The 23844-nt window shown below is 39.4% G+C and overlaps 1 protein-coding gene across 57 annotated transcripts in view, besides 1 other annotated feature; it reads right to left on the bottom strand.

Annotated features, from left to right (window-relative positions):
• The window catches only part of FGGY (FGGY carbohydrate kinase domain containing), a 466353-nt gene that overhangs the window by 297214 nt on the left and 145295 nt on the right, over positions 1 to 23844 (bottom strand). For all 57 annotated transcript variants that reach the window (XR_007061929.1, NR_103473.2, XR_007061930.1 and 54 more), the window contains one exon: positions 8441 to 8556. Coding sequence is in view for 54 of the 57 variants with exons in the window: in XM_011541731.2 (XP_011540033.1) it covers positions 8441 to 8556 (116 nt within the window). In the remaining 3 variants the exon portion in view is untranslated. The remainder of the gene's footprint in view (positions 1 to 8440; positions 8557 to 23844) is intronic.
• Positions 10093 to 10293: a silencer, noted in NCBI's record as "peak255 fragment used in MPRA reporter construct". NCBI's record gives its function as "represses an SCP1 promoter by STARR-seq MPRAs in K562 erythroleukemia cells {active_cell/tissue: K562}" and the evidence as "EXISTENCE:reporter gene assay evidence [ECO:0000049][PMID:32103011]".

Raw genomic sequence — 23844 nt, 5'->3', positions numbered from 1 at the left:
CCTGACTGCCCTGGCCAGAACTTCCAACACTATGTTGAATAGGAGTGGTGAGAGAGGGCATCCCTGTCTTGTGCCAGTTTTCCAAGGGAATGCTTCCAGTTTTTGCCCATTCAGTATGATATTGGCTGTGGGTCTGTCATAAACAGCTCTTATTATTTTGAGATATGTTCCATCAATACCTAGTTTATTAAGTTTTTAGCATTATGTACTGTTAAATTTTGTCAGTCTTTTCTGCATCTATTGAGATAATCATGTGGTTTTTGTCTTTGGTTCTGTTTATGTGATGGATTATGTTAATTAATTTGCATATGTGGAACCGCCTTACATCCCAGGGGTGAAACCAACTTGATCATGGTGGACAAACTTTTTGATGTGCTGCTGGATTCGGTTTGCCAGTACGTTATTGAGGATTTCTGCATCGATGTTCATCAGGGATATTGATCTAAAATTCTCTTTTTTGTTGTGCTTCTGCCAGGCATTGGTATCAGGATGATGCTGGCCTCATAAAATGAATTAGGGAGGATACCCTCTTTTTCTATTGATTGGAATAGTTTCAGAAGGAATGGTAGCAGCTCCTCTTTGTAGAAGTCGGCTGTGAATCTGTCTGGTCCTGAACTTTTTTTTGGTTGGTAGGCTATTAAATATTGTTTCAATTTCAGAGCCTGTTATTGGTGTATTCAGGAATTCAACTTTTTCCTGGTTTAGTCTTGGGAAGGTGTATGTGTCCAGGAATTTATCCATTTCTTCCAGATTTTCTAGTTTATTTGCATAGAGGTGTTTATAGTGTTCTCTGATGGTAGTTTGTATTTCTGTGGGATTGGTGGTGATATCTCCTATATTATTTTTTATTGCATCTATTTGATTCTTCTCTGTCTTCTTCTTTATTAGTCTTGCTAGCAGTCTATCAATTTTGTTGATCTTTTCAAAAAACCAGCTCCTAGATTCATTGATTTTTTGAAGGGTTTTTTTGTGTGTGTGTCTCTATCTCCTTCCGTTCTGCTAATTTTAGTTATTTCTTGCCTTCTGCTATCTTTTGAATGTGTTTGCCCTTGCTTCTCTAGTTCTTTTAATTGTGATGTTAGGGTGTCAATTTTGGATCTTTCCTGCTTTCTCTTGTGGGCATTTAGTGCTATAAGTTTCCCTCTACACACTGCTTTAAACGTGTCCCAGAGATTCTGGTACGTTGTGTCTTTGTTCTCATTGGTTTCAAAGAACATCGTTATTTCCACATTCATTTCATTATTTACCCAGTAGTCATTCAGGAGCAGGTTGTTCACTTTCCACGTAGTTGTGCAGTTTTGAGTGAGTTTCTTAATCCTGAGTTCCAATTTGATTGCACTGTGGTCTGAAAGACAGTTTGTTGTGATTTCTGTTCTTTCATATTTGCGGAGGATTGCTTTACTTCCAACTATGTGGTCAATTTTGGAATAAGTGCAATGTGGTGCTCAGAAGAACATATATTCTGTTGATTAGGGGTGGAGAGTTCTGTAGATGTCTATTAGGTCTGCCTGGTGCAGAGCTGAATTCAAGTCCTGGGTATCCTTGTTAAGCTTCTGTCTTGTTGATCTGTGGAATATTGACAGTGGGGTGTTAAAGTCTCACATTATTATTGTGTGGGAGTCTAAATCTCTTTGTAGGTCTCTAAGCACTTGCTTTATGAATCTGGGTGCTCCTATATTGGGCACATATGTATTTAGGATAGTTAGCTCTTCTTGTTGAATTGATCCCTTTACCATTATGTAATGGCCTTCTTTGTCTCTTTTGATCTTTGTTGGTTTAAAGTCTGTTTTATCAGAGACAAGGATTGCAACCCCTGCCTTTTTTTTTTTTTTTCCATTTGCTTGGTAGATCTTCCTCCATCCCTTTATTTTGAGCCTATGTGTGTCTCTGCACGTGAGACGGGTTTCCTGAATACAGCACACTGATGGGTCTTGACTCTTTATCATATTTGCCAGTCTGTGTCTTTTAATTGGGGCCTTTAGCCCATTTAAATTTAAGGTTAATATTGTTATGTGTGAATTTGATCCTGTCATTATGATGTAAGCTGGTTATTTTGCCCGTTAGTTGATGCAGTTGCTTCCTAGCATCGATGGTCTTTACAATTTGGCATGTTTTTGCAGTGGCTGGTACTGGTTGTTCCTTTCCGTGTGTAGTGCTTCCTTCAGGAGCTCTTGTAAGGCAGGCCTGGTGGTGACAAAATCTCTCAGCATTTGCTTGTGTGTAAAGGATTTTATTTCTCCTTCACTTATGAAGCTTAGTTTGGCTGGATATGAAATTCTGTGTTGAAAATTCTTTTCTTTAAGAATGTTGATTTCCAATTTCATCCATGTCCCTACAAAGGACATGAACTCATCATTTTTTATGGCTGCATAGTATTCCATGGTGTATAGGCTGCATAGTATTCCATGGTGTATATGTGCCACATTTTCTTAATCCAGTCTGTCATTGATGGACATTTGGGTTGGTTCCAAGTCTTTGCTATTGTGAACAGAGCCGCAATAAACATACGTGTGCATGTGTCTTTATAGCAGCATGATTTATAGTCCTTTGGGTATATACCCAGTAATGGGATGGCTGGGTCAAATGGTATTTCTAGTTCTAGATCCCTGAGGAATCACCACACTGACTTCCACAATGGTTGAACTAGTTTACAGTCCCACCAACAGTGTAAAAGTGTTCCTATTTCTCCACATCCTCTCCAGCACCTGTTGTTTCCTGACTTTTTAATGACTGCCATTCTAACTGGTGTGAGATGGTATCTCATTGTGGTTTTGATTTGCATTTCTCTGATGGCAAGTGATGATGAGCATTTTTTCATGTGTGTTTTGGCTGCATAAATGTCTTCTTTTGAGAAGTGTCTGTTCATATCCTTTGCCCACTTGCTGATGGGGTTGTTTGTTTTTTCCTTGTAAATTTGCTTGAGTTCACTGTAGATTCTGGATATTAGCCCTTGTCAGATAAGTAGGTTGCGAAAATTTTCTGCCATTTTGTGGGTTGCCTGTTCACTCTGATGGTAGTTTCTTTTGCTGTCCAGAAGCTCTTTAGTTTAATGAGATCCCATTTGTCAATTTTGGCTTTTGTTGCCATTGCTTTTGGTGTTTTAGACATGAAGTCCTTGCCCATGCCTATGTCCTGAATGGTAATGCCTAGGTTTTCTTCTAGGGTTTTTATGGTTTTAGGTCTAACGGTTAAGTCTTTAATCCACCTTGAATTAACTTTTGTATAAGGTGTAAGGAAGGGATCCAGTTTCAGCTTTCTACATATGGCTAGCCAGTTTTCCCAGCACCATTTATTAAATAGGGAATCCTTTCCCCATTTCTTGTTTTTCTCAGGTTTGTCAAAGATCAGATAGTTGTAGATATGCGGCGTTATTTCTGAGGGCTCTGTTCTGTTCCATTGATCTATATCTCTGTAAACTATCGCAAGGACAAAAAACCAAACACTGCATGTTCTCACTCATAGATGGGAATTGAACAATGAGAACACATGGACACAGGAAGGGGAACATCACACTCTGGGGACTGTTGTGGGGTGGGGGGAGGAGGGAGGGATAGCATTAGGAGATATACCTAATGCTAAATGAGGAGTTAATGGGTGCAGCACACCAGCATGGCACATGTATACATATGTAACTAACCTGCACATTGTGCACATGTACCCTAAAACTTAAAGTATAATAATAATAATAGAAGAAAAAAATAAAATACAATAAAATAAAAAACAAAACAAAACAAAACAAAACAAAAGAATGTTGAATATTGGCCTCCACTCTCTTCTGGCTGGTAGAGTTTCTGCTGAGAGATCCGTGGTGAGTCTGATGGGCTTTCCTTTGTGGGTAATGTGACCTTTCTCTGTGGCTCCCCTTAACATTTTTTCCTTCATTTCAACCTTGGTGAATCTGACAATTATGTGTCTTGGGGTTGCTCTTCTTGAGGAGTATCTTTGTGGTGTTATCTGTATTTCCTGAATTTGAATGTTGGCCTTCCTAGGTTAGGGAAGTTCTCCTGGATAATATCCTGAAATGTGTTTTCCAGCTTGTTTCCATTCTTCCCGTCACTTTCAGGTACACCAATCAAATGTAGATATGGTCTTCTCACATAGTCCCACATTTCTTGGAGGCTTCATTCGTTTCTTGTTACTCTTTTTTCTCTAAACTTCTCTTCTTGCTTTATTTCATTCATTTGATCTTCAATCACTGATACCCTTTCTTCCACTTGATTGAATTGGCTATTGAAGCTTGCGCATGTGTCACGTAGTTCTTGTGCCATGGTTTTCAGCTCCATCAGGTCATTTAAGGTCTTCTCTACACTGTTTATTCTAGTTAGCTATTCATCTAATCTTTTTTCAAGGTTTTTAGCTTCCTTGCGATGGGGTTGAATATCCTCCTTTAGCTCGGAGAAGTTTGTTATTACCGACCTTCTGAAGCCTACTTCTGTCAACTCGTGAAAGTCATTCTCCGTCCAGCTTTGTTCCGTAGCTGGCAGGGAATTGTGATCCTTTGGAGGAGAAGAGGTGCTCTGGTTTTTAGAATTTTCAGCTTTTCTGCTCTGGTTTCTCTCCATCTTTATAGTTTTATCTACCTTTGGTCTTTGATGATGGTTTTGTTGTGGATGTCCTTTTTGTTGATGTTGATGCTATTCCTTTCTGTTTGTTAGAGTTCCTTCTAACAGCCAGGTTCCTCAGCTGCAGGAATTTTCATAAAGTGGAATTTGCTGGAGGTCCACTCCAGACAGTTTGCCTGGGTATTACCAGCGGAGGCTGCAGAACAACAAATACTGCAGAACAGCAAATATTGCTGCCTGATCCTTCCTCTGGAAGCTTCATCCCAGAGGGGCACCCAGCTGTATGAGATGTCAGTCGGCCCCTACTGGGAGGTGTCTCCTATTTAGGCTACACGGGGGTGAGGGACCCACTTGAGGAGGCAGTCTGTCCAGTTCTCAGAGCTCAAACACTGTGCTGGGAGAACCACTGCTCTCTTCAGAGCTGTCAGACAGGAACGTTTAAGACTGCAGAGGTTTCTGCTGCCTTTTGTTCAGCTACGCCGTGCCCCCAGTGGTGGGGTCTACAGAGGCAGGGAGGCCTAGATGAGCTGTGGTGGGCTGCACCCAGTTCGAGCTTCCGAGCTGCTCTGTTTACCTACTCAAGCCTCAGCAATGGTGGAAGCCTCTCCCCTGGCCTCACTGCCACCTTGCAGTTCGATCTCGGACTGCTGTGCTAGCAGTGAGAGCAAGGCTCCCTGGGCATGGGACCCGCCGAGCCAGGCGCAGGATATAATCTCCTGGTGTGCCGTTTGCTAAGACTGTTGGAAAAGCCCAGTATTTGGGCGGCAGTGTCCCGATTTTCCAGATACAGTCTGTCATGGCTTCCCTTGTCTAGGAAAGGGAAATCTCCCCCACCCCTTGTGCTTCCCGGGTCGAGGAAACCCATTTAAAAAGCAGCCTCCCTCCACTCAAGAAACTGTCTCCTGCCCTTTATCTTCATTTCTGCCTCTCACTTAACACTTACTAACTTCCTGGACTTGGAATTTACATTTTTCTTTGCCTGGCTTCCCTGGTCCCAAATAAAGGAATGATCTATAAGCTAATACACTGAATCCCTTTATATGACAAACCCTGTTAGTAATGCAGATAATCACTCTATAATTCAGCCATGTTGCACACACGACTTTTCATAAAGTGGGCTACCCCAATAGTAGAACAAAGAGATTTTCCCAGGAATTAAAAAGGCAACCGCGGCATGCTGAAATGGCACCTGGATAATCAATTAGAACAGGTGGGATGTTGCTTATCTTCCTAAGGTCCTTTCTCCCTGCTGATCTCTTCCTTCCTGTTTGCTTTTGATAGATGTTTAGGATTAGATAGGTAACTGGGGAATTATTCATGTGGAATTAAAGGTCAAAATTTATTGACACAGATCAGTTTGTTGGATCATTTCATTGAACACAGATCATTTTGTCAGTAGGGCTATATAATCTCCTACCCAAAATCTGTTTCATTTTTCTCCATCAATTCTGAACATTAAGTCAACTTGTACAGTTTCAACTGTAAAGAAATTTCTATTCAATTGTAAAGAAATTTCTACTATATTCTTTTGATGCACAAAACTATTTTTCCTTACTTTGTGAATGTTCCCAAACCAAGCCATCCAAATACCTCCTTGAAAGAAGGCATTAGGTAGTAACATTTTAGCTTTAGAAACTTGCATGTTATTACTTAAAACCCTGTAAATTTTTTCTCCTGTCCTTGAAATGCACCATATAAATATTGCATTTGATCCTTAACTTACACTTCATAAATAATTCATTTTAAAAATATTCCTCCATAAGACCATCAGTTGCTGAGGTGTTCAGTTTTCAGGGAAAGCATTTATTTACTGCATGGGCCCAGGAAGCCTGGTAAAGGCTTGGCTAAAAGCTCCACATGGAGCAAATTATGGTAATTGTATTAATGCTCAAATCCAGGACGCTCAATGCTCAAATCTGCTAAAAGGTTTCACACTATATTGCCCACATCTTGACGGGCAATGAGGCCACTGGAAATGTTTAACACTTCATAGGGAGGCTTCTGAGATTCATCTTTCATAGTTCCAAGAATTGCTAAAGAATGTCTAGAGGTAGCTTCCAGAGGAGTTTCTGAAAGTCACAACTGAGAATAAACAGCCTCTTAAATATCTTCTACTTTGGGTTCAGACTGAAACTACAAGCTCAAGTGTCCAGAAGCGAAAATCAAAGGAAACATCACACAATTAATTTTGATAAATGGGTAAGTTCTAATTCACGTACAGCAATATTCTGCTTAATGATATGTCTCCTTAGGAAATCCATTAAAAATCCATTAACTTAACAGGGAAAAAATCTAATAAAGTTACTCTGGAAATTTTCTGCTAGATTAACATTATGGACTTCTAATGAATATTTCTTGTAGATACTGCTACGTTAGCAGAGCTAATATACTAATTAAACATGTGTCATGTGTGAGGCAGGAAAGAGGAGCAGAAAAATATAAAAATAATCAGAAAATCAGAGTTGAAGTTATACCCAATTGCCAAAGATAATGTTAAAATCAGTAAATATCATTACAGATTTTTAAAGGAAAGAGTGCCAACCTCCTAGTACCAAGCATCTCAATATTTTAATCAAAAAGTCACTGAGATATGAAAATATGCCATGCCTTGTGCTAGGACAGGAAATACAAAGGTAAATAAGTGAAAATCCTTATGTCAAACAGCTCACAGTCTAGTGAGGAATCAAGACACATATACAGGTAATCAATATATACACTAATAAAGCTATGTTTAACAACATACCATGGGAATATTCAGCAAAAAACAACTAATTTTTTGGAGGGCATATACATTTTACAAATCACTTAAACCATTAGGTAACTGAAGCTGAAATTTGTGTTCCAGTAAAATATTAGTTCCTTCTAGGTCCTCCCATTGGGAGAATTTCGATCCTGACTTACCATTTATTGATTCCATGCCAGGTTAGGCAAGGTTACTAATCTCTCTGATTCTCATCTGTAAACATGCAACAGTGCTTTTGTCAGTAGTTGTGAGAAATATATAAAACAAGGTACATACAAGCACAGAGAAATGTGCTTGGGACATAGAAGATGTACTTTACCACCCACATAAAAGGCCTTAGTCTGAGACCCTAAGGCCTTAGTTAGGAGCCACTGACTCGTTCTAGTTTCTGCTTTTTTCTAGATTTTCTAATATTGATCTTTTAGCTTTATTTTTTACCTGTTCACAGCCTTGCCTTGTCCTGTGAACCTAATTTGTAAAATTATTTTCGTAGTACTGACTGGAAGCAGTCCATACACAGCCCCTTGAGTATGCTATTCCCAAGCTGCTCCTTGCAAATATCTTCCTCAGTCTAGCCCATTTTTTTTTCCCCCTCAAAACAGAGTTCTGCTCTGTCTGTTGCCCAAGCTGCATGCAGTGGCACGATCTCAGCTCACTGCAACCTCCTCTGCCTCCCAGGCTCAAGCAATCCCCCCACCTCAGCCTCCGGAGTAGCTGACACTACAGACATATGCACGAGGCCAGGCTAACATTTGTATTTTTCTTGTAGAAATGGGGTTTTACCATGTTGCCCAGACTGGTCCCGAACTCCTGGGCTCAAGCAATCTGCCTGCCTCAGTTCCCAAAGTGCTGGGATTACAGGTGTGAGCCACCATGCCCAGCGCAATTTCTGATTCTATATTTCAATGCAGATTTTCATAGCATGTATCTCTACTCAGTTCATATAAATCTTAAGGCAAGAGCCTACTAGTCATGGCCTACCCATCATAATTAACTCATTTGTCTTGGAAAAAGTGAACTTCATTCCTGTATTTTCATGCATACAAAAACAAGAAACATACAAACCACAATAACAACAAACCCATCAAGATCCTCCAATGCACATAATCACTCTACAGATGTTTTATTCTTTTACCTATTTTGCTGTAATTATCTGCAACAAAGTCTTCCAAACCAATCATTTTCCAGAAACTGTCGTCCCAGCCTTTCTCTGCTGAATATGTCCACTTACACACCAGGGAGCAGAGAGACCTAAGAAAATAGAAGAGATATAGATAGAACTGACCATATGAGTGAGGCTTCCTTTATATTTTGCAAAATACCCGTCCAGGTATCTGCAGAGGTATTAAAGAAGTGGAATAAGCCAGTGTAGATAATGACACATCCCTGCTTAGGTAAAAAGTCTCCATGGATACCTGTTAATTATGGATAGTACCTTCCTTCACTTTCAAAAGTCTCAGCCCTGGCTGGGCACAGTGGCACACACCTGTAATCCCAGCACTTTGGGAGGCCAAGGCAGGCAGATCACTTAAGGTCAGGAGTTGGAGACCAGCCTGGCCAACATGGTCAAACCCCGTCTCTACTAAAAATACAAAATTAGCCAGGCTTGGTGGTGGATGCCTCTAGTCCCAGCTACTCGGGAGGCTGAGGCAGAAGAATTGCTTGAACCCAGGAGGCAGAGCTTGCAGTGAGCCAAGATCGTGCCACTGCACTCCAGCCTGGGCAACAGGGTGAGACTCTGTCTCAAAAAAAAAAAAAAAAAAAAGTTTCAGTCCTTTATTTGGATCCTGATTAAACAATCTGTATATGAATATTCGTATTTACATCTACGTTTACATGACATTTGTGAGATAATTAGAAATTATAACCTTGCTATTTGATAAAAAAATTATGAAATTTTAGATATGATATTGGTAGTTGTGGTTATGTTAACAAAAGGCTCCTTATCATTTAGAGATACATACTGAAAATGTTTGTATAAGATACATGGTATCTGGAATGCGCTTTAAGCAACATGAGAAGGAGAAGTAAATGGCATGTGGCTAAGGGCAAGATTGGTCATGGGTGGTTGTTGGGACAGAGTGATGGGTTCATGGGTGTTAATTATACTACTCTCGCTACATGTTCAAAAGTTTCTATGATAAAAAAAAGTTTTTAAAGTGTCTGGTGGAGATAATAAAGAGTATGGTCATCCCAGTCTAAGGCAATATTTAATAGGAGGAAGACTTGAACGCTAGATGCTTTCCAGCTACATTTCTCAATTTACCCTTAATATTCTGTAGTCTAACAATAAAAAGTTACTTACAGTTCTCTGAAGAAAGTCATGTTCTGACATACTTCAGTGCCTTTGCCCTACCCCCATCTGTTGGGAAAACTCATCCCAGCTTCTTCACCATGATAATTCAAACTCTTACTTTAGCCTAGGCTGAGATTCCAGTTCTGGGTTAGGCACTCCTCTTCTGATTTCCCAGAGCATGGAGTATGTCTTCTACCATAGCCCTTATCATGCTGGGTAAGTAACTGCTTCTTCATATTGCTCCCCTACAGTCTTATTGCCTTATAATCTGTTCTCCATATTGTACCCAGGGCAAACTTTATAAAATAAAATATTTTATGTCAATCTCTGATTAAGATCCTTCAATTGCTACGCTCTAACTTCAGGACAAAGTCCAATGCACAGCAGGGCTTAAAGAACCCTTTGTGATATGACTGTGTCCATCTCCACAGTCACTCCGTTCTGGCCATCCCCACCCTTGCCTTCTCATTCTGCAATACTGAATTATTTGGAGTTTGCTATAGTGAGCCTTGATTTCCCACTTCCCTGTGTACTGAACCCTTTTGCTTCATTCTTCCTGGAACAGTCATCCCCATTATGCATCTAACTCTTAGTTAGCCTTCATGACTCAGCTCAGATTGTCCTTTTTCAGGAAGCCCCAATGAAGGGCAGACTGAGTGAAAAGCTTCTTCTCCAAGTTCCAATCTGGACATACCTTTATCTTAATTTACCACAGTAACTGTCTTTGCCCATTCATTTCACCATCTCTCCCACTAAACCAGCAACTCCGTCAGCCCAGAATCAGCCTTACTCTTCTCTGTATCACAAATACCTCATTCACATTCAGGATTATGACAAGCCACAATGAACACTGACTGAATGGAAACATTAAAGAATGAATCGTTTGTCCATTACATGGTAGGTAAATGGTAAACCTGGGAGCTCATGCAATTTTAAAGATAACCCAAAACCTATCTCACAAGGACAATAGTCTAGATGTATCTCATTCAGTCACTCACATAGATTCATGCATTCACTCACTCACTTAATAAATGTTTAATATTCAGTTACTATGATCCTGGCACTATACTAGGATCCAGGAAACCAGTGGTATGCAAAATATCTAGTCTTTTGCAGTCACAGAAGCTGAAAGTTTAATTGGGGAGACAGAAATTGATCAAATAATCACAACTAAAATCATATACTAACAAACAGCCATGAATACTCTGAAGGAAGTAGAGGGAGAAATGAAAGCCTTTAGCAGAAGAACCTGACATAATCTGGTGGGAGACAGGGAGGAAATATCAAGGAGGGGTTCATAGAGGAGGTAGCACTGAGTGAGGCTTAAATGTCTTTTGAAAGCCAACAAATGTCACTTATCATTAATGATTTTTTTACATGTGGCACAGATCACAGAACACATTGAGCTATGCTAAGTGGCATAAATATACTGAAGGAATGCAAGCACTTCTAGAAACATGCTAAATTATTCACGGTTTTTTAAGCAACATACATCTCTAATAAGTGGAGAAGGCAGCCCACCTATGTAACATGTTCTGAAGAGTATACAATATGCTAACTCCTCCTGGCATATGACATCTGAAATTCCAACTTTTGGGGAGGTACGATAGCTCCCTGGCAAGAGTAATATTAGGGAGCAAAAGGCAGTATAGAAGGATTGTTTCCAATGATCCAATCACACAGGGTAACTCCTAAATCCCCAGATGTCCCATTCTTGTCTGTAGAGTGCTGGGCCTCTACTTTGACTTCTCCTTCCATCTTAATGGATTATTACTCCTTTCACCTATCTTTGTCTGCTTGGTAAACTCCAGGTTGTCCTTATGGTCCAGTTCCAATGTCAGCTCCTCTGTGAAAGTTTCTCTACTACCTCCAAGCTAAACTCGTGGCTCTCTCTCTTGAGGTACCATTGTAAGTTTAAAATATTGCACTGTATTTCTCAACAGCTGATAAAGGTTGAGTTCATGGCCCTAAGTCTTCATGTCTCCACATACCCACACTCTTTGCCATGTAACTTTGTAGTACTGCACCCTCCTCCTCCTGTCCCCCACATTGTAGGCAGGGCTTCCTTTCCTACCTCTGATTCTGATTCCTTACCTCTGACTTCTGATTCTGTCACATGACTGAATTTAGCCAAAATAAGGAAGCAGAAGTAACTGCATGCCAGTTCCGAGTCTGAGCCTCAAGAGATTCTATGTGTTTCTGCTTGTTCTCTTGCACCTCTGGCACTGCCATGAGATCATTCTAGGCTAGTCCACTGGTCCCATGAGGAGGATAAGAGAAACATGGAGCAGGGCAATAGCCAGCTGAGCTCAATCTGGATCAGATACCCCCAGGTTGTCTTGGATCAACGTGGATCAGTCAGCCAAGACTCCAGTGAGTGAGTCCAACTGAGACCAGAAGGATCACCTAGGACAGCACAGCCTAAATGAGCTGTCCATGAGTCAAATAAATGATTACTGTATTAAACTAACAAGCATTGGTTGTGGTTCATAATACAGCAATAGTTTAAAAACTCAACACTTCACAGCATAACTAAGTTTTTCCAAGCAGATTTTTTCCCCAATAAAGGGAAAGTTAGGGATGTCTTGGTCTTTACAAGAAGTTAAAATAAGAGAGTATGCCTGGAGTGAAGATGACTACAGAAGTTTTATGGCTACAGATGCCTCTGGCAACTCCCTCCTTCATTGGGATTATTCAAACAATATTAGGGTCCAATTCATTGAGTTTCTTTAAATCAAACTGATGGGTAATATGGACGTGCTATTAAGCAGCAGAACTGGTAAAGTTTAGTGAGTACAATTGAAGCCACAGGTACTCCAAAACTCTCCAGGAGGGAAAGAAAACATAGGACTTTGTTCATATTATTAGTGGGTAAAGGCAAGGTACTAGCAGCAGAACAAAGGGCTTACCCCTCCGGGAGTCTTCTATTAAGACCAGTTTTGACATTTCCTGAAGTGTTTTAGCAACTTGCCCTCTTTGGATAACTATTCACCTTTAGGCAAGCTGTACCTACTAGTCACCCCCACCCAAAGGTTTGTAAAATTAGAATTAGAGATAGGGGCCCTACAGAGTCAGGGCTACACTGGCAGTCTGAGTTGCTTCTAAGATTGGCAGCTAGAGAGGAGTGCTGCTTCCACCAAGGGTGCTCTAAGAAGAAAGAAGGGGCCACTTGCTGTTGGCCGGTTGGGTGACTGCCAGCCCAAGTGCCAGGGCAGGAACTGATGTACCTTTCACTGCTTTCAGACTTGTTAATGCAGAATAGATACTAAAAACCTATATGAAAGTCAAAATAGCATTTATCAATGAGTAGGCAAAACAAAAACATTAACTAACTTAATGGGAGTAGTTCACCTGAGAGACCACATAGAACATCTACAAGAGGCAAGTCCCACAGAAGTAGAAATGATGAAAAATATGGTAGAATCTTTTAATGATGAAAACAATGAGAAATCAGAAGAATGCAAAAAATTCTTTCTGGAAGTATAAATACTGATTTTACGTTTAAAATTTCCACAGAAGAACTAAAAAATCACTGACACTAATGAAAATCAAATTAATGCTCTGGAAGACCAAGTAAATGAAATATGACATATGACATCTGAATTTTATCTTTATCTTTATCTTAATTTACCATAGTAACTGTCTTTGCTCATTCATTTCACCATCTCTCCCACTTTGCTACTACAAGTAGCAAAGATACAAAGAGATTGACATAATGATGGAAGAGATAAGAGGCTTGGAGGACAGATTCCAGAAGCCTAACATGAGAATAACAGAAATTCCAGAACAGATTTTGTGTTTTTTAGGAGAGAGAAAAGGAATAAAAAAAAAAAAAGAAAAGAACAAATGAGGGAGATACTGTAATTAAATGAATACAGGGCTAGGTATTTTATTATACTGAACTGAAGTAAGATTTAAGCCCACAGATTAAAAGTCTCATTAAGTCCAGGAAGTAAATCCAGGAAACACTTGAATTTCAAGAGTAAACAGAAAATTATACAAGCTTCCAGACAGAAAGAATAGGTTACTTACAAAGGATTAATCCTAGCTAAGGGAATTCTCATCTACAACTCTGGAATGTAGAAGACACTAGAATAATGTACAAACTATTACGAGAAACTGATTAAAGAATCCTATACCCAGACAAAATATTATTTAGCTGTAAGAGGCAAAAAAAACATTTTCAACACACAAGGATTCAAAAAGTAAACTCATAAGCACTGTCTGAGGACAATACTTGAGAAAGAGTATAACCAAATAACAATTGATTCAGAGCAGCTTTCTCAATATGGTGGAAATCAAAGACTAGAGGAACCAGTAGACACTGAGACCCTTTCTCACTCTGTGTGTCTCTTTCCTGCATATATGTATATATATGCATGTATGTGCATAATATGCTTAAACATATACATATATGCATAAAAATATATGCATATACGTATTGAAATCTAAGTGGATAATAATAATGTAAGCAGGAATCTGTAATATTGAGTTTTCTTAAAATACAATAGGCTTGCTGTTCTACAAAAAAAAAACAAACAACAACAAAAAAAACTTAGTAACAGTCTGGAACTGAAAATAAACATTAAGTAAGCAAATATTAAGTAAGAGTCTAGAGAAGGGGTACACAGAAAACGTTCCTTGAAATACATATACATGTTTAGGCAGAACATAAGTTTATTGTTGGTTATAAGGAATGAGAATGTAACCACTAGTAGAAACAAAACACTTAGTAGGACTCTCAAAGTAACAAGGAATAAAAGGGAATAAAGAAAAAATTAACAAGCCAGTGAAACCAATAAACCACACAAAACAAAAAGGAAAGGGAATGGGGAGTGATGTAATATAAATAGAAAACAAAATAAGATGGAACAAATAAGGTCAATTATCTCAGTATTTCATCAAATGTGAATGGGCTGAATTCCACAACCAGTTAAAAGATAAGATTAATCATACTGTGGTTAAAATTAAGCTATATACCTTGTTTATAATTCAGATTTTTTAAAATGTGATTCAGTTTTCTTTCAAAAATGTTCTACAACAAATACAAACAAAAAAATTTTTAAATGACAATATAAGTATCAAAGTAGAATCAAGATCAAAAATATTTAACAAGGAAAAGAAGAATATTTCATAATGACAAAATGCTCAATCCAAGAAAACTACCATTCATAATATTTTATGAACCAAACAATGTAGTATGAAATATATGAAACAAGAGCTTCTAAAATTTAAAAAGCATTTGAAAAAAGACAATTCTATTTAAATATGTGATTGTACTTTCAGAATGTGAAGAGACATGTAAACTATAAGAGTAATAATAGCTATTATTATTACTACTGGGGAATTAAAGGGTGTTAATACAATCAACAAACTCAATTCTGTATACTCATATAGGAGGAGGGAGAAGGAGAATACTTTATAATTCATGCAGAAACTACATGGGTTAAAGATACCAAATGGAAATGTGAACACACACAAAGGAATGAAGAGTATCAGAACTGCTAAATATGTGAGTAAATACAACAGACATAAATTTCTTTAAAAAAATTGAATTTAAATCTTTATACAATCCAATGCATGAACAAATCATATGAGAATAATAGCACAAATCACAGGAAGATATGAAAGTGTATTATATATAATGAGGCATCAAAATTATTTTAAGGTCGACTGTGATAAGTGAAAGACGCATATTAGAAACTGGCAAGAGGTAAAACTTTTTAGAGATAAAATGGAATACTAACAAATATTTAAGTAATCTGGAGAATACAGGAAAAGGGAATAATTATATAGAATATATGGAAGACAGAAAAAGAAAATAGATTAAAACCCAACCAATAAATGTAAATGACCTAAAATCTCCAGTGCGAAGGCAGAGATAATAAAGCTGAATAAAAATAAAACCCAACTATATGGAGTTTAAAAGAAACTTATTCTACTTTTTAGAGAAGAGCTCACTCTGTTACACAGGCTGGAGTGCAGTGGCATGATGAGGACTGACTGCAGCCTTTAACTCCTGAGCTTAAGGAATCCTGCCACCTGAGCCTCCTAAGTAGCTGAGACTATAAGCACACACCACCATGCCCAGATTACTTTTTCTTTTTTTTATTTTTTAGAGATGGGGGTCTCACTATGTTGCTGAGGCTGGTCTCCATCTGCTGGCCTCAAGCAATCATCCTGCCTTAGTTTTGTGAGTAGCTGGGATTACAGGTGTGAGGTGAGTCGCAGTGCCTGGATAAAAACAAAACAAAACAAAACAAACAAAAAATACTTATTTTCAATATAAAAATGCAAGATAAAGAGTAAAAAGATGCAAAAATATGGCATGCAGGCTGGGTGTGGTGGCTCACGCCTATAATCCCAGCACCTTGGGAGGCTGAGGCAGGTGGATCACAAGGTCAGGAGTTCGAGACCAGCCTGACCAACATGGTGAAACCCCATCTCTACTAAAAATACAAAAAAAATTAGTTGGGCGTGGTGGTGTGCGCCTGTAATCAGCTACTCAGGAGGCTGAGGCAGGAGAATTGCTTGAACCTGGAAGGTGGAGGTTGCAGTGAGCCGAGATTGTGCCATTGCACTCCAGCCTGGGGGACAGAGCAAGACTCAGTCTCAAAAAATAAATAAATAGATAAGGCATGCAGATACAAATAATAAGCTGAGGTGGCTATATTAATATCAAAGTAGACTTCAGAACAAGAAATGTTACCAGGAATAAACAGGTACATTACATATTGAGAAAAGGGTCAATTCACCAAAAAGACTCATAAAGAAGAAATCATAATTTTTAGAAAGGCAACTCGAACTCAGCTAAAATTAGATCTTTTCTCCTTTTGTTTTGGCCTAGGACTAGCAAACATGTAATGCAAAAACTGTATATGAAATCAAGGATTCATGACAGAATGTGGTCACCTAAAGCTGCCCCTGTTTTATAGGTTTGCCTGAAATTCCAGTGGTCTCAGCAGCCCATGGTGATGAAAGGATCTGGCCCACTAAAGGAGTCCAGAACCGTGGACTATTTTAGGCATGAGTGTGTATGAGTGGGGAAGACCAGGAGGCACTGAAGGATCTATCTCATTATCATAAAAGAATGTTATTATTTTATTTTATTTCTTGATGCTCTATCTGGCCTTCTGGAAATTTCAGTATATAAGGTCAGGCCACAACCTCCCACAGCAGGGTCCATATCTGCCTTTTTCATCCAGTTATATGGATGAATAAGCACAATGCTACTCTGGCAAATTTTGAGAGCACAATGCATGTTAATTAAGTGAATGAATAAAAACCTTCAGATCTCAGTTATAGAAGGAAGCTTTCAGGTTCCTAATCATTTTTTAATGGCTTCTATTATAAAGCCTAGATCTTTAGATACTGCTCTGTATGCAGGCTGGAGAAGAGACAAAAGTTAGACTCCTGGAGTGCATGAAGCAGAACACTGGGTTCCTTGCATAGACCATTAACCTCAATGGAACCAGGAGAGCCTTCCAACAATGCTCTCCTGGTTTTGCCTACCTCACATTCCTCCCACCACCTACTGCCCAAGACACAAATGCATGCCAGATCTCTAGCAGACCTTCTTTCCTATTTCAAAAAGTACAAAAACAAAAAGAGGCTTCTGATTAAAGATGCCAGATTGACTACACGTGTTGAACTCTGTGCCCTTTAAAAATTCCAACAAAATGGTTGTACAAGAATGTTTCAAAGAGGCAAAAACCCACAATGAGAACAGGATAGAAGATGACAGCATCGAAAATCTAAAAGCCAAAAACCATGGTAGTAGTAACTCTCTTGGTAGACTTGAGAAAGGTAAAACCTAAATAGCAGCAGGAAAAACCCAGAAGCAAAATGATTACCCTACAGAGACCCAAAAAGTTCAGGAGGTGGTGGTGCTCACCACCCCTGAAAGTGAGGATAAAAATGAGGCTAAAAACAGCAGATGGTACAAAAAGTATGTTTAGGAAGTAATTAGATCCCATGTGACCTCACTATTAGCAACCAGGGTACTACTTCTCCCACACTACGGAAGAAAAGTACTAAGGTCCAATGTATTAGTCCATTTTCACACTGCTGATAAAGACATACCTGAGACTGGGTAATTTATAAAGAAAAAGAGGTTTAATAAACTCATGGTTCCACGTGGCTGGGGAGGCCACACCATCATGGTGGAAGGTAAAAGGCACGTCTTATATGGCAGCAGACAAGAGAGGAGGAGAACCAAGTGAAAGGGGTTTCCCCCTTATAAAACCATCTGATCTTGTGAGACTTATTCACTACCATAAGAACAGCAGGAGGAGAAACAGCCCCATGATTCAATTATCTCCCACTGGGTCCCTCCCATAACACATGGGAATTACCAGAGCTACAATTCAAGGTGAGACTTGGGTGGGGACACAGCCAAACCATAGCATCCACCCTTAGATAGGGTGCGATAAAAGGTCCAGGTAAGGGTAGAGTATCTTGACAAAAAGAGACTGATTCAGTATCTGCTTTTTTGCAGGCCAGCCCTCAAGCTCCTTTCCCCGACTCAGCTCCCAGAGCTTTGGCTGCTAGGTTCACACCCTGAATATTTATTTTTGGGGAATCTGACCAGAAAAAAGAAAAGATATAAGGCTAATTGGGAGAGCAGAAGGTATAGAGAAAATAGCCTAGCCAGATAACTCTAACCTTAGGAAGATTAAAATGAGGGAATGTAAGTAAAGCTAATATAAGTAAAGCTACTATAATCACCATCTTTATTTTCATCATCTTTAGTTTCAATCAGAAAATAGTTACTGAAGGTATTTCCCTCTATATACATATCAGAGTTTTCCTAGTTAGGTAGGAGCCTCCAGACTCTATCAGAAACAAAGCGAAAGGGTCACCAAAATCCGAGCCAGAGACCATGAAGTAGCCTCAGCACAAACAAGAACTTTTTATTCTCCTGCTTTTACTCAGAGCAAGGCGCACATCAAAAGCACATGCCTGCTGAGTTCCAGGGGCCTGATCATTCTCATGCATTTCTCCACCAAGATTTTATAAAAATGAAGCCGGCACTGCTGCATTATTTATACGCAGCTCACTGTACTGACATTGCCAGGCCCCAACTTTCAAGGGAAACCTTTTGTTCTCTGCTTAGGGAAGGCTGAACCTGGAGAGTCTCAATCGAACCAGCCAGTGAAGAACAGAATAATTAGAGCTGAGAGTGGGGATAAATTACCAAGATATTCCTGGCTGCAGCCTTTGGTACATCACAGGCCTCTGATGGCTCTGTTTTTCCAAGCCATGCAACAGACTGAATTACCAGCCCTGAAGATACAGCTCATTGGGAGATAAAATGACTCAGATTGGATTGCTAATTGTATCAACAAAGAGACCAAGAAGGCCTTAATTTCTGAAGAAATACCACTGCACCAATCGGAGCAGCTTCTGTTAAAGAGCTGTCAGATTTCAGGCCTGTTACTATTGGCTCTGTACTTCATCAAGACTTGCTGACAGGCCCGTGACAGGCTGAAATAATATATGCAATGATGCAACACAGGGCAATATTAAATTGCTTTTTCGGTCAGACTTGCCGATAACATGATTCAAACGTGGCCATGACAATATGGGGAGCATGAAAGAACTGAATAAATAATCGAGTTGAGGGAATTTTCCCATGCCACCAAAAGAAAGAGATCTAAGAGTCAGAAAACAAAAGATCTTAAAGTTGCCACCAAAATATTCCAAGATCGTGATGAAGCCCCTGGATTCACGGATTTGGATCTGTCCCCTAAAAAATAAGGACGGTACTAATTAGAGGCAATATGAGAGAAAGCAGGAAAGTAAAGAAAACAAGTGACAGCTTACTTAGTGCCTATTATACGCCAGGCATTATGCATAGAAATTTTATGTGGGTTACTGAATATCACAACAAACTTGTGAGGATACTATTATTAGTATTTCCATTTCACAGAAGAGAATACTGAGGCTCAGAAGTTAAGTCATTGGAGGTTGTATCATTAGGAAAGAGCAGGACAGAAGTTCAAAACCTGCCCTGATCAATTAAAAGTCCATGCTTGTTAACTACATGCTTATTCAGGCCCACTCAGGGAAAGATATTTACAAAACATTACAAAGACTGGTTACTCCAAGTGAAAATGTACAGTAATTTTGAGGTATTTAATTTCTCGTGTTTTTCTTGTCTGTTATCTCCTTTTTTTAACAAAGGAAAAATATGAAAATAAAACAGATGGAAGAGGTCAAGAAACACAGAGCTGTAGAAAGCAGTTAGCTGCCTTAGGTTTGCTGTGAGGATGTTCTGGTAAAAAAGGGTGTTCGGGAGATGTGTGCCATAGGCAAGGACACAGGGACAACAATGAGATGTTCTCTCAAGTTGGGAAAATGAAGTCTGGTTTTGAGAGTTCAGCTGTAAAGTTAATCCATAATGAGCAAGAGTAAAATATTCAAAATTATCAAAACAAAACAATGGCTTCCAGAACATTCAGAGCTCACAGGAACCATACTGAAGGCATTCAGATGGTTAAAGAAAGAATGTGTCAAGAGGATGATTAGGCTGCAGGAGACTAGAAAAAGAAGCAGCAGCAGAAGTGGAAGCAGAGGCAAGTGCCAGAGCAGGGAGGAAGAGGACTGCACCAGGTAGAAAGAACTGCATGTGCCCAGGGCTGGAAGTGAGGCAAGCAAGTGGCCACACCCATCTCAGCAAGATCCTTGCTGTGCATACCTCAGAAGCTGAGTGTTGCCCTGGCATGAAGAAAAGGAGCAAAAGAGCCATTTATTTCCCTCCTCCCTCTTTCTCTCCCTCCTTCCAAAAATATTTATTAGGCTCTTACTATGTACCAGGCACAGATATTATCTCTTCCTTCGTGGAGCTTAGAGTCTAGTAAAAGAGAAAAATCCATGAAGAGCTCACTCTAGTAATTACTATGAAGGGTAAGTATAATGAAGAAATATTATAGGGTGTCCATAGAGCTTATGGTATCAAAGGACATGTAAAAAGATAGGGAGAGATCTGTTAAAGGATACACAATTACAACTAGATAAGGAGAAATAAACTCTGTTTTATACCAGCGGTCCCCAGCCTTTTGGGCACCAGGACCCAGTTTTGTGGATGACAATTTTTCCATGGGTGGGGGTTGCGAGGAGGAAGGTTCCGGGATGAAACTGTGCCACCTCAGATCATCAGGCATTAGATTCTCATAAGGAGCGTGCAACTTAGATCCCTTGCATGCGCAGTTCACAATAGGGTTCCTGTTCCTTTGAGGAGCTAATGCCACTGCTGATCTGACAGGAGGTGATGCTCAGGTGGTAATGCTCACTAGCCCACCGCCCACCTCATGCTGTGCAGCCAGATTCCTAACAGGCTACAGACCAGTACCTGTATAATACATTATTGTTAACCCTAGTCATCCTACAGTGGTATAGAACCCCATGGGGTTGGGGAGCCCTGTTCTATACCACTGTAAGATGACTACAGTTAACAATAATGTATTATACAGTTTCTCATCACTAGAAAGAGGATATTAAACATTCCCAACACGAAGAAATGAAAAAGGCTTGAGATGGATATGCTAATTAATCTGATCACTATGCATTATATGTATGGAAACTTTGCTATGTACCCCATGAATATGTACAATTATTATCTGTCAATTAAAAATAAAGTTTAAATGTTAAAAAAAGAATCTCTACTTTGCCTTAGATTCCTTCATTAAGGGAGCAAAGACCCGGGGTCAAGGGTTTCCATCAAGCATCTGTCTACTCCTACAGTTTTTAATGGCAAACCCTGTGGCTAGAGGCCATTAAAATGGGGCTGCCTTGTGATGGTAACATCTTCAGACCCCCAGCCCTTGGGTTTGCTCCTGCCTTTCCCCTAGCCTCTTCTCCATTCTAGTAATGTTGGGTTTCTCACTCAATTATTTCAGGCTTATGATTCTGGCTTCTTGGACCTGAGGCTTGATCTCAGCCTTTGCCTCTGGCCATCTGAAGACTCATTATTGGACCACTCTCTAGTTCTTCTGAACCCCTTTGCTTCACGGTCCCATGCCCTGGTGCCAGCTTCCTCTGCAAGGTCTACCCTAGTGTATATATGAGGTTATTGGTACCAAGGCCTATTCCCAATCATAACTATTTCCCAGTGTCACTCAGAAGAGACAGAAAACATACATACCTATCTCAGTCTGACTCAGATAGGAAAACATTTCTAAACATTTTATAAGCTCCAATATTAAAATACCTCTTCCAGTGTCAACTCATTTTGGCCTATCCAATTACAGGACAACACAGTGTGTATAAGGACAGTGGTGTCTATATAATCCTTATCTTCCAACATTCTTCAGTCTTAATGGCATTCCTGACTTGCCATTTGTTCAGTACTGAGCTGACCCAAAGTTATCTAAAGTGTGCATAATCGGTAAGCCTGGGATCTAGTGCTACTGCCAAGAAATAAGTGAAAAATAGCAAAGCTATTCTAAAGCCACTAGTTGGGGGGTGGGGAGCAAGGAAAAGCAAGTTATCATATTAATATATGGTCATCCAAGGCTGCTCTGCCTTAAAGAGATAATGTACAATTCCTGGCAAAGGATGAAAGAGAGCAGACTGAAATAGTGTCTGCCAATTGGCCTAGTGCATTTCAATTCTTTTTGGCTATTAGGGCCCTTTATGATTAATTCTGGCCTCTGGAGTATCTAAAAAAATCATCTTAACTTGAGAATATTCTTCAATATAAATAAGCACCTGAACAAATTATAAAACAAATATTTCCTTGATAAGCTAGGATTATCTCTACAAATTCTCAGTAATAACTATACTATACTGTAGTGTAGCCCAGTACCCAGCAAGTTGTGGTCACTCAACAAATATTCTTTATCTTTTATGAGACACTGACAACTCTAAGAAGTACTGAAAAGCATTATCATTTCCCTCATACTAAAAATCCTAAACTGCTCTCCTTGATTTTGCTCAGTGATACCATCTGCAGATATTTGATACTTCAACCCCCTGAGAATATTTAGCAGATCTTATCATTCTAGTCTTCTTTTTCTATCAATTTTGGTTTAGGATCTAGAAATGATGCCACTCTTTTCCCATTGTGCAAAATACAAAAGTGTTGGACGAATTATTTCCCTCTTCCTATTCCTGTCTTTGTCAGGCCACTGTGCTCCAGGTGGCTATGACTGTCATCATGACAACGGCCATAAGTAAAGGGCACCATGGTGATGCTCTTCTCAGATATGATGTCAACTGTCCCATCACCCAAGGAACGGCCTACTCACATACCTCTCAGAGCTGAGAATTTTAACATGAACAGTATCCCTTTGACACAAAGCAGAAAGAGTCAGATTAAGATTTTCCACACAAGACAAAGAGGTAAAAACATTAAAAGGAAGTTGGTGAAGTAGAAGTACAGACCTGAAGATTTCGTACCTTTCAAGATGTCCTGTCTCTAAGGAAGGACAGGAAAAGAGGGAAAGGAAACAGAAATGGAAAACAAAAACAAAAACAAAAACAAAAACAAAAACAAACAAACAGGAAAATGGCCTTAAAATTAGGTTTTCAATATCTTTCAGGGATCAAGATGCAGAAACCAGCAGAAACAATACATCAGCTCTTCAGAAGGAGGATACATTCAGACTTGCTATTAAGGTAAAAAACATGACAATTTTGTGACTTAGCCATTTAAGAAATTCTTGTAAATATTATCTGGCCTCAAGGGATTAACAGTCTGTCAGGGGAAGAGAGCACCATATTATTTAGCTAATACGGGTAGAGCTAGAGTTGGAACCCAAACAATTAGCTGCAGAGTCCATACCTTTCACAACTATACAAACTGCCTCTAGAAACATACCCTCTGCATGATTGGTGAATTTCATGAGTGAAATACAAGATATTTAAGAGGAACAACAGAGGAAGAGGGCAACTCTACCTGGGAATATTAAGGAAGCTTCACTTGGGAGTAGCAGCTTGAATTGTGAGTCCTGAAATATGAGTAGGAGTTCACCAGGTGGACAAAGGTTGTAGAGGATACATTTCAGGCAGTGGACCAAGGCATTCAGTTCAAGCATAATCCTGCCCCCAGATGTGAAATGGAATAACTGATCTCCTAAAGACTCTTCCAGACTTTTAGATTTTAGTGCTGCTATGAAGAAGGCATTACAAAGTACAGTTTGGATCAGACATGGTGAAGCCATCATTCACTAGTGAGTAAGATATCCTCCTTGCTCTTCATTTTCTTCATCTGTTAAGAAGGTAACAGTAGTAATTATCTC

The sequence above is a fragment of the Homo sapiens genome, chromosome 1 (assembly GCF_000001405.40).
Source record: "Homo sapiens chromosome 1, GRCh38.p14 Primary Assembly".
In the NCBI taxonomy this organism is placed as follows: Eukaryota; Metazoa; Chordata; class Mammalia; order Primates; family Hominidae; genus Homo; species Homo sapiens.
This window is presented reverse-complemented; position numbering and strand designations above follow the sequence as displayed.